At 36.5% G+C, this 18,552-nt stretch overlaps 1 protein-coding gene across 10 annotated transcripts in view; it reads right to left on the bottom strand.

Moving 5' to 3' along the window:
* The window catches only part of EXOC4 (exocyst complex component 4), an 847,874-nt gene that overhangs the window by 523,024 nt on the left and 306,298 nt on the right, over positions 1 to 18,552 (bottom strand). The window contains exon 1 of one of the 10 annotated variants that reach the window (XM_017012494.3): positions 1,167 to 1,467. The exons of the other annotated variants lie outside the window; for them this stretch is intronic. Within the exon in view, the coding sequence (XP_016867983.1) occupies positions 1,167 to 1,413 (247 nt within the window). The 5' untranslated portion in view covers positions 1,414 to 1,467. Of the gene's footprint in view, positions 1 to 1,166; positions 1,468 to 18,552 lie in introns of those variants that run through there. 10 annotated transcript variants of the gene reach the window in all.

Below are 18,552 nucleotides of genomic sequence, written 5' to 3'. Positions count from 1 at the left end.
ATTACACAATAATGTCCTTCCAAATAAGCCAGATGGATCCATTTTGGTTTCTTTTCTGATTTTAACTTTTTTTTTGAAAGTCAGAAAAAGTGCATATGTCAAACAAAACTACCAGCTTCATTCACTCAGTTAATAAATATGTATTGAGCATTTTTTACATATATGACCTACGGAAAACAAATTTTATCTCTACAATTCTATTATTAAAACATGGATGACAACATTGATCATAATTGCTAAATTAGACTGCAAAGAGCATACCCTTGATATTTTACAGCCAACTCATCCAGACTGAGAATGTGATAGGAGGCAACATTAGAGCCAAAAGGACTGAACAAGGATGAGAGGATCTAGGTTCCTCTCCATACTCTGACTTAACTTGTTGTGTAATCTTAAACATGTAACTTAACTTTTGGGGACCTTAGTTATCTCTGCTATAAATCACATTAGATGCTATTTAAGAGATCTTCTAATTTGATAGTAATCATTGGAATAATTTGTAAAAATAGTTTCCTTAGAAATAGTTATTAGAAGAAAGAGAACGAAAATTGAGAGAGAGGTGATACAGGACATTGACACACAGTGGCATTTTTAGACTTTAAAAGTTTTTTATAAAGGAAAATATTACTAAATATTACTTACAAAGAAAATACAAATTTGTAACTTCAGAATATACTTGCAAGCTTCCTGAGGTCTGATGAATACATTAAATAGAGTGAATGTTTAAAGATAAGTAGAGGTAACACATTTTACTTTTCTAATCTACAATATTACCCAAAATTTAATAAAAGTCTGTTCCGGCCCTATCACTTTTATAATTCACTCTTAGATTGCGTCTATCATAACTCACACTGTGAAAGACTGCTATGTTGAAGCTTCTGTACCTACAAGTATGTGAGCATCTTCTTCTACTTAATAATAAATGAAAACAGACATCCAACCCCGGGCATATTATCTTTCTCACTCTCACTCACCTACCCACATACACACATGCAGTGAATAAGAGATCTGGAAAGCAAGAACAAACAAGTTAATTTAATCTTAAAACACATTACCCGATGAATTCATCTTAAAACAGATGAATTAATTGGCCCTAAATCTCGAGGAGTTCAGTAAAACTTGCCATGCACAGAAGGGCTGTCTGGGTGTAAAAGCCTCACAGTTACCTCTCCAATAGTACCCTGTAGACCAATATCCTCTATCTCCATGTTGGCAACAAGTCTTCATTGAGATGGTTTCACGGCTCCCATTGCTCACTTCTGATTGTTTCTTTTTCAACTGAGTGAGATCACATTTAGCAATAGCTAGGTGGTTATCTCTACCCCCTTGAGAAATCCGCTTTATAGATCTGGGATTATTGGGATCCTCTCCTTTGCTCATTTTGGTTTTGCTTGCTGTTACTAAATTGGCCATGTAAGAAAACGTTTTAAATAAATCAAATGCAACCGACAGATGCCCTCTATAAATGGGTTAAATAATTTTTTAAGTGTAGTAATATACTACATAATGCTAATTTGACTGTGACGGAGACAACAGATTAAAATGAAAGAAACAAGCCAACCAATCACTTTTCTTAAGGTGTGATCTGCCAATTATCTCAACCAACACAGATCCTAATATTATCATTCTAGGCCATATGTGTAATTCTCAGGCAAAAAATAAATCTTTTAACAAGTCTGTAAGAACTATTGGCACCCATTCATGCCAGCCTGCATTAACATCTTGAGAATTTTCTCTATTCCAAAAAATACATAACGGGGGTTGGGGGTAGAAGAGGTGGGAAAGAACCTAGCCATACATGTGATTTAGTTATAGGTCCAAAAAGATGTAAAGATCCAAGCAATTCTTTTTAAATTTGCTAATAGATAATAAGAAAAGTGCTGGCAGTGCTCAGCACTCATGAGCTGAAGGAGTAAGCGGAGGTCCAGAACACTTTCAATATTCACTGTGCCCATCTGTCAGCAACACAGTCACTGAAGAGAACGAGCAATTACCAAAGCCCTTTTCAGATATAATCTGTCAACCACATGTAGTCCTCCTGCCAAAAGAAATCAGAACTGAGGAATGCAAAAACAGACTGGCCTTATGGGACCAAGGAGAGGTTCATTTAAGATGAACCTGGAGATGAAGAAAAGAAAGGGGAAAATCAGAGAAATGTTATAACCACTCATCAGATATTTCTGAATTGTATACCACTGGGCATCAGGGAAGCCAGGGAGGAGAGAGGCACCACTATGATTTAAACCCTCTTTGCTTTGCTGTGCTTATTACAATGTTAATTTCAAGAAATGCTCTACTCATTACCAGAACTGGTTCTCTTCGGACAATGAACATGCCACATACCAGATGTGCTCCTCTCTAGAATTGTCCCATTACCCTATCCTACCATCATAGCAGAATTTTTAAATCAACAAACTATTTCAATTCAATAAATATATTAAATGTTTTCACCATCTAAAGCAGTATTGTATACGTTATAGGTCCACAATTATTTTTTAACTGGGTGGGGGACTATTTTAAAGTTAGTGTTCTAAAAATTACAAACCAATACCTCTCTTGTGCACTTTTTGATGGATTATGCCTTCTAGTCTAGAACTAAAATCTTATCACCACTATCACCACCATGGTAAATAAATGTGTGCTGAAGTATACAGTATATAGAATGAACCAGAAACAGGAGAGACAAGCATTAAGTGTACAGTAACTCAGGTTTCAGGTGATGAAGACTCGGACAATGTGGTAGCAATGAAATTAGGAAGCCACAAGGGGTAACTCTAAGCTAAGAAGGAAATGACGAGAAAAAATGAATACATTCTGACTTCTTTTGGGGAAAAAAAAATCAATTTAAAACTTCCATAGCTGTGAATTGAATGCATCTCTTTTCAACACGTGTGTATTATCATAATTATCTGATCCTGTGGAGCACATCACCAATACAGATAATATAAACGCATATGAAACAATCAGGTCATCTGTTTCACAAACAGTTTCATTTGTATTACAATATCCCATCCAAAAATTTGTTTGTAACAGGTTTGTCATCAACGCTGAAGATAAAGGACACTCTTAACCGTTAAGAGGTTTCAAATCTTCACCAAATAGCATCTCTGCAGGTGACAACTTTTCGGATGTATCTGGGTGCAACGGACAAAGTTATAATGAGAAAGATCATGAAGAGAAGAAGAGGAGAGTAGCCAGCATGAGGTGTAAGTATGATATTCACAAGAGTGAGAAAATTTACATTTCTGAGAAGCAATGGTCATGCTGACCACGAGCTTCATTCTTCATTCGTGTAAAGAACAGATACTTCAGGGTCAAGGCAGCTATCAGTGGTTGCAGCTCAGCAATCCTCTAGACAAAGTGACTGGCTTATACACACACAAAGTACGCTGACCTGAATTATCCTTTAGAGAAATATAACAATTTACCCAGTCCCAAAATCAGGGCAAGTAACAAATGTTTTATTCAGTGTCTATTAAGTAAAAAGAACAAGAGAAAATGTCTACCCTCAAGAAGCAAACCCCTTAGTGAAGAAGCTTATAATCTAGATTCAATCTAATTCATTCCCTAAATATCTAAGAAAGCAAGTAAGTGTGTGCATTTTGGTGTATGTGTAAACATGTATGTATATAGAGTTCATATTTATATAAATCATATATAATTATACATGAGTATATGATTATGCATGTATACATATACATGCATGTACACACATACGTGTGCACAAACATACACACACACTCTCTTTTCAAGAGCCAGAGCTACTTCTTATATATATTACACACTTTCTACTTACATCAGATATCAGTCATAAATAATTAATAATTACAAACTATTAATAAGCACAGCAACTTATTAGCAGTCTTACTTAATAACTCATGATATTAAGAAGCACTGTGAGAATACAAAATGTTTTAGATATACTAAATAATAACTGGAAAAAATAACATGTAACCAAAGGTATTTTAAGATTTCACAAAGCTGAAGAATCTCTCTACACAGTAGAAATACATGAAGTCCCCAACATTGTTAATTTGTACTTAACACAGGAACCTACAATGCTGACAGCAATGAATCAAACCGTAGGCTGGCAGTTAAAGACCTGGCTTGGCAAGGTGCAATGGCTCATGCCTCTAATCCCAGCACTTTGTGAGGCCAAGGTGGGAGGATCACTAGAGGCCGGGGGTGGAAGGTTGTAGTGAGTGAGCTATGACCATGCCACTGCACAACAGAGCCTGGACAACAGAGAGAAACCTTGCCTCAAAAGAAGAAAAGAGAGGAGGGGAGGGGAGAGAGGGGAAGGAAGGAAAGGAGGAAAGAAAGAAGACGTGACTGTAAATGCACCAAGTTCCACAGGACTGTATACTTTGGGGCGTATTACCACAGCTTTCCAGGTACCTGACTCCCCATTACAGAAGCTGCCTCTGGTGATACCTCAACTAAATGGGCCTAAGTAGAGGACCAGAGATGATGACTTATCAGAGAAGGCAATGAGGTGAGTGAAGGGCTATCCTAAGCATACTATCTGGCGCTGAAACTGGTTCTTCCTCTATTCTTCTAAGTAGCATCATGGTTTATCTGCACTGGTGCCCAAAAGATCTGGTGCCTATTTATCTCTGTCAATAGCTAGTCAATTCACCTCTCCAGAACTAAGTTTTGCCATTCTGTAAAAATGCGGTTGCTTCCATCTCTAACAATATACATAAAGTGGTAAGTATCCTATATATCACAGATTAGTATTTTTTTGTTTGTATTAATCAGACAACTCCACAGAAACATATTAACTATACACAAGATCTAACTATTCATGTATTACCACTGCTATACATGACCACATCCTTTTATTTGTTTGTTTTAGAACTGGTATAGTTTCAAATTACCTATATATAGTAAGTGCTTTGCCATATGGTTATATCCTGAAACATAATCTTAGAATCTGGATAGTGCTTTCTGGTGAATGGAAGACGTCTAACTCAAAAATTCAAAAATAACAGACTCTTTTCCCCAAGCAATCCTCATTTTCATAGTGGGAAACTAAGATTATTAAATTGAAAACTGTCTAGAAGTTTCAAATGAGAAGCTGGTCATAAGCCTTTTTAAATCACTATAGACCATATTCAGATATCACTATTCTTGGACTATTAATCAGCAATCACAATCATGCTGTTTCAGTGGAATGACATTTAAGGACCCCAAAAGCTTCCCTGGAATGCCAACGGCTCTTCAATTCAATAATGTATCTACACTAAAGTTTATCATTTCATGAAAGCGATTTTTGTTATGCTGGAAGGAATTATTTTTATGTATTTTTTTGCTTGTACTTCCTTTATTCTGCTGTAACCTTTCAAATGCTAGAAATCTTTCCTGTACACACAGGAAGACTATCAATTTTTTTAAAAAAAAATTATATTGTTCAAAGTAAAACGATTATAGAAGCAACTTGGATATTTATTATTCTTGATTTATTTTTTTTATATTGAATAAGCTTTTACAAGTTTTTTTCCCTAAGCTTATTGATTTTTCAGTTCCAGTCATCTTTTCCAGTTCATGTTTTAGCCTGTTCAATTATTCACTACTATGATTCAGATTTACTGTTTGCCTTGGTGCAAATTTGGAGGAATTGACAAAGCATTTCAGACAAGAATCTGAGTTATTCCAATAAGCTGTAACAATGTAGAAACAAAAGTAAACAGACTGGGGTGGTGCAGTAAAGAACCTCTAAGCACAAGTATGACCATCCAAATAATTGCCTCCTTTCTTTGATACCTATTGACACTTAAATTCTTTATTCACAAACACTACCACACTTTCATTACAGTCATTGTATATTTTGTATACACCACTGTATATTTTCACCCAGTAACTCACTAACAAAGAAAATCCCTGTGCCTACCTTCCCAGCAAATACTAATTTTTCATTAACCTTCTGCTATGGTTTCAAAGTATCCCTTTTAAAATTCCGGTGTTGCCAATGTGACGATATTAAGACCTAGTGCCTTTCGGAAGTGATTAGGCCATGAGGGTCCTCACTTATGAATGAGATTATGTTACTTAGAAAAACAAAATTATTGCAGCTTTCAGCTCTTTTACTCTTCTGCCTTTCACCACGTCAGGACCCCTGAGTGTCCTCCTCACTGGAGAATGCAGCTCTTACCAGACAGCCAAACAGCCAAACCTGTCAGCACCTTGGTCTCAGACTTTCCAGCCTCTGGAACAGTGAGAAAATTAATCTTTTTTTTTTTTTTTTTGCTTTGAGGCAAAGTCTCACTCTGTCATCCAGGCTGGCATGCAGTGGTGCCATCTTGGCTCACTGCAACCGCTGACTCCTGGGTTCAAGTGGTTCTCATGCCTGGCCTCAGCCTCCCAAGTACCTAGGACTACAGGCGCATGACACCATGCCTGGCTAAGTTTTTGTATATTTAGTAGAGATTCACCATGTTGGCCAGGATGGTCTCAAACTCCTGACCTCAGGTGATCCGCCTGCCTCAGACTCTCAAAATGCTGGGATTACAGGCATAAGCCACTGGGCCTGGCCTAAATTTCTCTTTTTTATAAATTACTCAATCTGTGGTATTTTGAGAAATTGGCACAAAAGGGTGAAGACACGTTTCTTCATTTTTATTAGTAATTTCCACACTCACTGGCTCCCTTCTGTCTGATGTCATTTGATCAGACAAGGGCTCCCTTTCAAGTTAAGCCCCATCAAAGGGGCTTATTGCAACACAGTTCTGAAACTTTTCTCTCCTCCTCTAAACCATTACATGATCTAGAGCTACATAAGTAATCATTTAATAATCACTTTAAAAAATATCGTTCTTTAAATCTGTTTATAAGTTGTATCTTCTAGAAGATTCTAAGTTACTTAAAGGCAGAGTTTGAAATAATTGTAAATTCCACTGTCACGGAAGATAAGGCCACCCAGGTTGCTCAACAGGAGTAAAGATGGGATACCAATACTTAAATCACCATTGATAATCAGTTCTAAATTAAATCAATTTTCAAATATTAAGTAGCACAGTCTTACTTCTTTAAAATGCCTAATTAAAGCTGGCTCATGCTGGACAATTTTACTTCTTATTAATAAACACACATCAGCCTAAGAACTGGCATCATGTTGATTTTAGATGCTTCTTAAATCTTGTTCCAAACCTCTAGGTAGAGTGAGTCACTTCAATTTCTAGAATGCGAAAAACCATACATCAAAAAAAAATATTGAGGAGTGGATAAGAGTCCTGGTTTCCCCATTTCCTACATGTGTGACCTTGGATATTTAACTTCTATGTATTTCAGTTTCACGCATGACATGGTCTAGCCTTCTCAAAGTGTGCCTGCCACAAGAGCCATCTGCATCTGAGATTCTTGGGCTCATATCCCAGACCAGCTAAATCAAAATCTCTGAGGTTGGAGATCAGGTTATCTGCACTTTTCCCAAGAATCACACATGGTACACTGAGAGCTGAAAACCACGATGGTGAAAGAGCACGACATGTGCTGAAAGAAAAGCAATGAAACAAGACAGAAAACCTGCCTGTTAATCTCTGCCACCAAATTTGCTTTGTACACACAGAAAAATTACTTCTTTAGGTTTCACTCTCCTACTATAAAATAATGTGACTAAACTGGATGATCACTAACTGGTGAGACTGTAAGACCTCCAAGTCCCAATCTTCAGTCTAAAAAGCCCCGGCAGCCCCTCTTCCTGACAATATTAAAAGTGTACAGAGGCTCTAAATGCATGAGGTCATCTATTATACATTATATATTGACACTGTGCCAACTATTATACATTATATATTGACACTGCTAACTTCTGTATACCAAATTTGAACTGTCAAATATTTCCTGCTAATCCACAGCAGCCTCTCCTGCCAACTCACAATTCAATTTCGGCAGCACTGACATCTTGGTACAGAAGGGGCTAGGCAACTATGTGATATTTTATTGCGTTCCGCCATTATCTTATAAAAATTAGTGGCGAACAGAAAGACAAGTATGTACACTGGTGATAAGCCCAGATCTCATAAACATATTCCAACGGTGACAGAGATGTAAAATATAGAATCTGTAAAATACAGAATCTCTAGCAGAAGCCACACATTCACTGGAAGCAGCCTGGAAACCTGGGCATTTGATTACGAAGGAAAAGAATAATATTCATCTTCATGAATGAAAGGCAAAAGACTGTCAAAATTTGAAGGATAGTTAAATATTTTATACTTCTTTTGGTTCTCTGGAAACAAAACCCAACACTCCACCATTATGTGTGTGTGTCTTACACACACATACCTACGTATATACATTTGAAATATAATCCACACATCTTTCCTCAATATTATCTTCCTAATTCTTTACTCTCTCAGTAACACTGAATGAATGCATGTTTAATAATAAAGTTACATATCTACACTTGGTTTTTAAAAGACTTTCATATCTTTCTAGTTGAAAATAACTGCCTGCTTGTACCTAACATGGGAACTGTATTCACTTTCCTAAAGATTATGTCAACTTACACATTTTATCTTACTTTCAAAACTGAAGCGCTTCTCTTACTAGTCATGTCCTTTGGGCATATCTAACGTATTTGTTGTCCCTTGCATTAAAGTCCTCTACAGGACTGAAAATTCTTACTTGCTTTTATTGGCTGTACAAAGTATTATACATTCGTGGACATGATTAAATTTCTTTATTGTTATCACCTGGCAATTTATTCTCTCACCTTTCAAGTTATCTGAGGCTTTTCTTGCTTAATTATTAATCTGGCCTTTTAAAAAAAAATCTTTATTAATTATTCTTTTTTTTCTCAAAGGGAGTTCCAAAATCACACAGTTGGGAAGTTTGTGTTCTCATATTACTACCCTCTCCAACATCTTGAAAACTGACTCTCTCAAATTAGTTTTCTTAGCCCTATTTATTTGCTTACTTATTTTTACTTTGCTAAAAAATATCAGTAGAAAGCTGCCAGTCTTAACAAACGTGAATCATATCAGTTGATCTATTCACACGGTACATCAACATTCTAATTCAGACTGTATCTGTTCTTCTAAATAAATCCTTCAGTTTCATAAAACTAAACTGTTTTAAGATATTCCTGATTTCAAAAATGAGTGTGGTATAAATATTTCCTTATTCTGAGTCCTGTTCTTTCCCATACAAAGAAAGGATGAATCATTCCTGTCTATGCATTCCCAAACATCTCTACCATAACACTTCTTATGCTTTTTCATTCATTATTTGTTTTGGAAATCCTAGTCATCCAACTAAGTTTTAATATGCTCTATGAGGGACACCCACCTAATTTCCTGGTACATAAATGATACTCAATGAAAACTGGTTGAAATAGTGAAGTCATAAATAAAACAAACGCAAGGCAGAAGTCGAATGATTTCCTCATAACCTATGCCTAGATAATTGCCAAACAAATTGAAAATTTAAATGTAAAACAAACTATAAAAGTTATTTTAAAATTATGATAAAATTCCTCATTTATAACCTCAGCTGGTGGAAGTCTTTTATAACTGTGTCACAAATGTAGAATCCATCGAAGAAAAGTTTGTTATACTAAATAAAATAAAGATTAAATATTTCTGCATGGCAAAAATTATGCTAAGGAAAGCCAAAGTATAAATGGGAAAAAAATTGGAAGCTCATATCTCAAATTGCTGTATTCCCAGATTAAAAAAAAAAATCCTAGAAATCAGTAAGGGGGAAAGAAGAGGCAACTGAAAATTACTCAAAATAATATGAGGAGACAGGTTGCAGAAAAGGAAATATAAAAAGTTCTTCAATATATGAAAACGTGCAATCTCACAAGAGAAATATAAATTCAAACTAAAACATTTTTACATATCAGAATGGGAATGAGTCAAGAATTTGTTAACACAATGTATTGATAAGAATGTAAAGAATGAAGAACATTACTTGGTAAAAGTGTAAAATGGTACACTATGGTGGGCAGTATGGCAATGCTATGGCTTGAACATCTGCACCATAACTCATGTTGAAATTTAATTGCCATTGTAAGAGGGTTGACAGGTAGAACCTTCAAGAGGCAGAGTCCTCATGCATGAACTAGTATTCCTATCACGGGAATGAATTAGTTATCACAGGAGTGAGCTCAGAATAAAAGAATAAATTCAGGCCCATATTTCTGTCTCCTGTGTTCATTTCTGCCTTTTGCCTTTCTGCTACGGAATGACCCTCACCAGATGCCAGTGCCATGCTCTGGGACTTTCCAGTCTCTAGAAGCATGAGCCAAATATGCTTTTGTTCTTTATAAATTATCCAGTCTATGATATTCTGTTATAGCAGCAAAAAATGAACTAAGGCAGTATCCATCAAAACTACAAATGCACAAACCCTGGAATATAACGGTTTGGCCTGCAAACGCCACTGCCAGAAATTTATCTTACAGACATATTAGCACATGCATGCAAGGATGGTTATACTGTGGCATTGCTTGTGATAACAAAGGACTAGAAACAACATGAATGCATATCAACACAGGACTGGTTATATAAATTATGGTGTAACAATACAACGTAATACTCTTGCCATAACAAAGAAAGAAGAAATAAAACTCCATGATATACAAAATGAAAAAAAAATGATGTTCAGAACAGTGTTCATAATGTTACCATCTGTGTAAAACAGGAAAAAAAAGAATATATATATATATTTGCTTATATATGCCAAAAAATTTCTAGAATGATATATAAGAAACTAATGATATAAATTAACCTGTGGGAAAGGTAACAGGGTATCTATTGGAGAGGAGTTTTAAGGAGATGTTTAACATGTATACTTTTATACTTTTAAATTCTGAAGCATGGGAATGTATTGCCTATTTAAATTTACTTTTAAGAATAATAAAGCTGGTTTTCTTAAGCCAGCATAGTATATCAAAAGGTTAAAAAAGGAGAAGAAAAACCAAGTGACTGTTCTTACATCAGACATCTAAAACATTTCCATTTTTCTTGACATTCTGTATGATTCTGTTTATGTGTCCAGGTTCATTGTTTGAGATATTCTGAACCTTTAGTCTATTGTTATATCCATGGGAACATAATCTTCTGATACAACAACTTTGTCTACACATAACCATAAAATCATCTAAAAACAGTTTATTGAAAGCATTTACCAGTGGTAGTCACTTTTTGTTTTTTCCACAAATATTTATTGAGTATCTATTCTATGAAAGGTACTGTTTTAGACATTAAGGATAAAACAAACAACAAAGCAAGAATAGTCTCTGCTATTGTGGAGCTAATACTGCAGTGTATAGTAGACCAAGTAACCAAGTTCTAATATGTACCTTCCGGTCTACCATGAATCAGTGATGTTTCTTAGTCACAAAAACAAAACAAAACAAACAAACACAAACTTGGCTCAGAGGATTTGTTAACAATGTCTTAACAATTTACCCACTAAATTGAGGATTTGAGTTTTATTAATCCTAATCCTATTTTAGTCTGCACTTAAGTGCTCACTGTATGCTAAACCATGTTTTATGTGTACTCTTGCACATCATGCTCACAACAATCCTATGAGATAGGTACCATTATTATTTTCACTACACAAATGAGAAATAACTCTAAAGCCCATGAAATAATCACTCTCTACACTGCCTCCTGTATGACTCTAATTACTGGCTTCTGACTTATAGGGATTATAGATAAAGCACAGATGAGTTTAAGGTTTCACCCTGGGCTCTCTCATTCCTAACCCCAAAAATAATTCCTGGCATTAAAAAGCTATAAATTTGAAATTCATGAAGGTGTAGCTCAATTAAAATCATGACAAAAAGACAGAATCTATATTTTCATATAGGCCAATACACTTAGTTACATACCTTTATAAATGATCTCAAACTCATGTTCCTTATTTTAAAGACTTAACCACAAATATATAATAACCCCCAATAAAGTGCAACTATTTAGACACTAACATTGTTGCCTTGTATCTTGGGTATACTTTGAACTCCCAGGGAATGTGACACCTTCTGCTACAGTTATTTGTAAATGATTGTCAACATACTCCTCAGATCCATCCAGCTGCAGGTATCCAGAGGTTCTCAAAGTGTTGTTCTGAACCACCAGTAGGATCACCTGGGAAGGAACACATCTGACATGCCAATTCAAACTGCCCCACCCTAGACTCAGTTTTCCAGATTTAGTCAAACAAAAACAAAAACCCAGAAGATTCAAACTTCAGATAAACAATGAATTTACCACAGTTAAATTAAAATTTCAGATAAACAGTGAATTATTTTAGTATAAGTATGTTCCAAATATTGCATGGGACATATTTAAAAGATTGGTTACTGTATATCTGAAATTCAAACTTAATTGGGCATCTGTATTTTATCTGGCAACTCTACCCTAGGGCTACTGAATCACGAAAACTCTGAAGGTCAGTTCCAGCAATCTGTGTTTTAACGAGTCCTCAAGGTGATCTCTAAACAACTCTGGGGCCTCAGGTAAAAACCCATACCTTTGAGTAGGTAGCATCTGTAATTGCCAACATATTTACTGAACACTCAATATGTCAAGGCAGTATTTTACGTGTTACTTATGGATTTTCTTTTTAATGATCATAACCCCATGAGGAGACTATAATTATTGACTACTGTCATTTCACAGATGAGAAAACTAAGAGTGGAGGCGGTTAAGCTCAGGATTCAGCATGCTTCGGAGAGCAAACTAAGCCTATGGTCTTCCCTATCGAGCCCACCACACATGTCCAATCCTTGGGAATTAGCTCCTCCCTTGGCTCCTAATTAGGTTACAGTTCCCCTGAACCTCAATCCATTTTGCCATGGTTCTGAAAATGGGAGAAGTATTTACCAAGGTCACTAATTGGGATTCTAATTCTAACTCTAACTAAAACTCGACATCCCAACACCACTATTCACCAAATTCGATTTCTATCGCAATTCCACTCTCACATGTTAGACCCCGAGGTTGTCTGTACTTGGCTGGGTTAGGTTTGAGTTCCTGGAACCCCTGGAACACTGTGATTCAGACTACTGACCTTGACCTTAGCAACCTTTGCTCACAGGCCTCAAGGTTCAGTTCCACGACAATTTGCAGTAACTCCCAGGTTAGAAAATATTTCCACTCATTAAGAGTAGAATTAAGATGTCTCCTTTTTGTCTCTCATATTACATATCAAAAGCTTCATACATTACAAATCTTAAAAAATATTAAGGGAACAGTGAAAAATCTTAGTCTGCCTCCTACTGGTCATCAAAATTCAGCATTTGACTGGGCCTTACCTTCAAAATTGATCACTAAAAGAGGTTTACTTAGGTTTAAGGTATGGTGTAGTTGGTTTGGTAAACGTATTTCATAATGACTAAAACAACTTATATTCCATCTTTTCATTTCCAATTTAAAATAAGTGGAGAAGGAGAACAAAAAAAATAGGAGCTTGAATTTGACCTGTGATATGGTTTGGATCTGTGTTCCCGTCCAGCTCTCATGTAGAAAAATTTTACTCCCCAGTACTGGAGGTAGAGCCTGGTAGGAGGTGACTGGATCGTAGGGGTGGATTTCTCCTGTGGTGCTGTTCTCATGATAGTGAGTGAGTTCTCATGAGATTTGGTTGTTTGAAAGTGTGTGGCACCTTCCCCTTCTCTCTCTTGCTTCTACCCCGGCCATGTAAGATAGGCCTGCTTTCCTTTCGCCTTCTGCCATGATTGAAGGTTTCCTGAGGCCTTCCCAGAAGCAGAAGCTGCTATGCTTCCCATACAGCCTGCAGAACCGTGAGCCAATTAAATCTCTTTTTCTTTATAAATCACACAGTCTCATGTATTACTTTACAACAATGTGAGAACGGACTAATACAACCTGCTACTGAGTAGGTAAAATAAAAAAATTTCTATGAAGTGAGTGATCTTTCCATAAAACTCAATTTGAATCATACTCATATGTCAACAAGAATAAAACATTCTCAGCCCTTCCTTTATCTTTAAAGACTTCCACTCTGCAGAATTATGCCCAAAAGAGTAACTCAGCAGCAAAATTCAAATGGACAAAGTGGCCAGTGTCAAAAATCAGTGGTCTCAATGTGTAATATAATTCCTGGCAGTTCTGTAGAAACAAATTTCTATCTTTACCCAATTTGTAATTCACGTAAAAGTATAAGCACGTATATTTGAATTGTATGTTTTAAAGCCCTATTTTGAAAGGTCTTCATCTAATCTAAGATGTATCTAAATTTTCCCCACTAACTTATGCCGCCTAGTTTTACCAATCCATTTCAATGAAAAGAGAAGACAATGTATCAGACACCTCCTACTCGAGCTACACATAACTAGGCTACAGCTGGTGTAGATTAAATTCAACTCTTAACAGGTGCTTGGAGGAAAAGGCTTTAACAGATAAGCATCCTTGTCTTTGGGATCTTAAAAATAACTAAATCATCTTACTTTTTCGACACAAGCAAATGCATGTGACCCAGGCAACATTGGAAAGAGGAAATAAAGTGACATGTAAGATGGAGGAGAAACGAGTAAAACTAGAAACCGCACAGCCAACAGCAGCTGCAGGGCAATTAAAGTCAATGCTTTACAGATGTTCATGAGCAGAAGCTCATTTGCCCAATTTTGATTGACTTCTTTAACGCATACATTTCTTGAGACATTCTTTAAAATTCCATTTTTATTTGGGATACTTTAATAATTAAAAAAAAACCTAACTTTCCTTCTTTCCAACACTTCAGTCTCTTTCAATTTCATATGCCATTAGAAATGGCCATTAAAAAATGACCACTAATGCCAGAGTGTGACAACCCACTAGTACAAATAAAACAAATGAAATCTAACAGTTTAAAATATAACACTCAGCCTCCCAAATGCTGACCACAATAGTGCTCCTTGGCCTGAAATATACATTTTAAATAAAAAATGTCACTGAAATGCCCAAAATGATTTCATCCTCCTTTCGTGACTTCATGCATCACCACAGTCATCCCAGCAGACCAGTGCATTCCTAATGAGTCTTTCTATTATTAAAATTAATTAGGATAGTATTCAGTTTGGCCACAGCAGGGCTAGCAATACCAAAATGTGATGACTCAGGGACTAAAAATTAAAAGCTCTTATTAAGAGGCATGAGGATTACTAAAGACACATTAAGATCCTTTTATTTTATATTTTGTAAGTAACAAGGTCCCAGTATGATACACGAACCCAATAATGTATTCGTTGTATCGTTAGAAACTACAATGACTCAGTGCCCTCAATCTTTCTTTCAATTTGTTGCCTTAGTACAAAACAAGAATATTTCAGCTGTGCTTATCTGAAACTAATTGCAAATTTCCAGGTCTTCACACACTTGTGAAAACAGCTCTAGTTAAAGTAAAGCTAATATTTTTCCTAGGTAAGAAAGAACTCTATTTGTCAGGAGAATGGCATAACTGCTGAAGCAATGAGACCTAATAAAAATGACAAGTCTGGAAGTATCAGATGAATGGGATTGAGAGAACCACACTAACCGGAAGCAAAAGGCGGCAAGGTCAGGCAAGCCGGGGAACCTAGCATTGCAGAAACCAGGAACCAGAGCAACACCATGAGAACCCTAATCCAGAGGTCAGGCTAGGGCCCTGTGAGAATTCTCATACTGCCTTCATATCATAGGAGCAGAAACCAACCCCTGGGCTTGGATAGCCTAGAGCAGCACACAGTGGACTAAAAGCAACTGCACCCTTCACAGAAGTTCAGCTATTTCTTCACAGTAAAAGCAAATAAATAAGCAGAAATGCAACAAGTTCTTCACTTAATGTCCTCTATAGGTTCTTAGAAACTTCAACTTTAAGCAAAATGATGTACCACAAAACCAATTTCCCCACTGGCTAACTGACATAAACAAGAGCTGAGTTGTTATGGCATATTTCTGGTTGCAAAAACATCACCAAACCTCTAAATGAAGACAAAAACACTAATATTAAATACTGAAATAAATGTGAGCTATGCATACATTTGAGATAAATGACACCAAGTAAGATATTTACCTGCTTAATCCAGCTCTGGGTGGCGGGTGGCAGGAGCCTATTTCGGCAGTTCAGGGCGCAAAGCGGGCACTAGCCCTGAACAGGACACCATTCCATCTTGGGGCACGCGCACGCACCCACACTCACTCAGACTGGGATAATTTAGACATGACAATTCAAAGAACATGCACAGCTTTGGGATGTGGGAGGAAACTGGAGTATCTGGAGAAAATTCATAGACATGGGGAGAATGTGTTAACTTCACACAGACAGTGGGGCCCTCCAGGAATCAATTTCTTTTTCTCATCAACGTTATAGCAAAGCAATGTTATTCAAGAACCTGCTGTAGAGTCAGCATTCCAGCTCAGTGAGGAATGCCCAAGGCAATTCAGTCTTAGGCAATCAAGAAATAGCATTTAAAAATGAAGGAAAACACACTATAAATGATTTTTCGGGTTTTCAGGACCTTTTCCGCACTGTATAAGTGCCAGGCAAATAGGGGTAATGGCTTCCTGGAAATCACTGAGGGAAAGAAATGAATAAATTAAGGGGCTTAGAAAAACACTGGTTTGAGAAGACGTGGAAGAACTTATCCACTGTCTAAAAACTTGGCTTGTAAAATTTAAGATCAAGAGTAATTCTGGCCTTATTTGCAAAGGCAGATGGTGTTGACTGGCTACCTAAAGGCCAATCCAATCCCACTTCCCACAACAGAGATTAAAAAGCCATGTGCTTGCTTGTCAACCTTACCTGCATGGAGAAGAGTTCATGTGACCAGGCAGAAACAGAGGTACCCTAAAACAGCTTTCGTTTTACTGACAACAAGGGAACAAACTGACGTCAAACATCTGTCACCCTCTTGCCTCAACCAGGTACATAATGACTGTCCTAGTAGCAGTCATCTTGTGACTACCAGAGCAAGGCCAAAAGAACTGTACAGAATCATCTTTGACTTTACTGAGTCACTGATCTAGTATCTTTAAACCTCTTTGATTATGAATAATAAAATCATACTCTTAGCAGGTTTCTTTTCACTTAAATGGGAATGCATTCCTGATACAAATGCCAATTCATTGTATCCTAAACATTTAATCTCTGTGGAAGATATAGCACCATGATATGCCTAAATGTATATACAGTTATCCTTAAATGACAAGATTATAAGAAAACTTTTTCTTCTTTTACTCATCTTTGCTTTCTAAATTATTATTATTCAATGAAGTTTTATTTAATTAAGCAGAGATTAGTAATGGGAATTCATTTGACAGAAATACAGCCACACCAGCCCACTTTACCATAAAAGAAAGATTTTTTTAAATGGAAAGGCACACCATGATTCCGGAAAAAAAATCTTGGCCCAGCACAGTGGCTCACGCCTATAATCCCATCACTTTGGGAGGCCAAGGCGGGAGAATCTCTTGAGGCCAGGAATTCCAACCAGCCTAGCCAACATGATGAAACCCCATCTCTACTAAAAATATAAAAATTAGCTGGGCATGGTGGCACACACCTGTAATCCCAGCTACTCAAGTGGCTGAAGCATGAGAATCAATTGAATCCAGGAGGTGGAGGTTGCAGTGAGCCAAGGTTGCGCCACTGCACTCTAGCCTGGGCCACAGACGGAGACTCTGTCTAAAAAAATAAATAAATAAAATAAAATAAAATCTCAAAATAAGAAGGCAAATTTCCACTTAGAAAGCTATAAATTCAATATATTCCCATCAAAAAACATGGGATGTATACTGGAACGTGACATGCTGATTCTACATTTCATTGTGAAGAATAAATACCAGCCAGTAATATTTTGAAAGTTAAAAAAAATGAGAAAGTACTTGTCCTACAGTTTTCTAAGCCAAACATAAAACTACAGTAATTGACGTAATTGACACAGCACTGAACTGAAATAGGCATGGATAAACAGATATAACTTCTAGAGAGTCCAGAATGAGATATATGTACCTAAGCTATCTAATTTTTCTAAAGAAGAATTAGCCTTTCATCCACATGGTTATGGTCAGGGCTGGCTATGTTTTTAATGACTTCATTTCCAGAACACAGTGAAGGTCAACTGACACAAATCTGAGATTTTTCAACTGGTAACCAAAAAAGTGATTTCTGAGTAGATGAAACACTCAGGAACCACTCAGAAAAAGTGTACAGTGAGAAAGAACAATGAAGCCGATATATGAAAAAGAAATGAGAAATGAAGACAAAGGAAAAAAGAAAGAGAATGAAACCTGATGGTATTTGAGTTCCTGTAAATAGTTGTTCCCAAGGCACAGCCACCTGCTCTGTGGTCCTGAGGAAAAGCCTACTCTCCTTAAAAATTACCCAACTTTGTTTATGCTCATTAAGCTGAGTCCTTTACAACTGAAATCAAGAAATTCTAATTACGCATTTGGAATTGGGAAACACAGTGCATTTCAAATCACTGGGAATGGACAGAACTGACCAACAAAAGATACTGAGACCCTTTTTTACATCAGGAAAAATTAAATCAATATCTTACAAAGAAATAAATTCTATATAGATTAAAGGCCTAGATGTAATACAGAAAAATTA

Source organism: Homo sapiens, chromosome 7, assembly GCF_000001405.40.
Source record: "Homo sapiens chromosome 7, GRCh38.p14 Primary Assembly".
Lineage (NCBI taxonomy): Eukaryota > Metazoa > Chordata > Mammalia > Primates > Hominidae > Homo > Homo sapiens.
The sequence above is the reverse complement of the archived record's forward strand: the minus strand, read 5'-3'. Positions and strand labels throughout refer to the sequence as shown.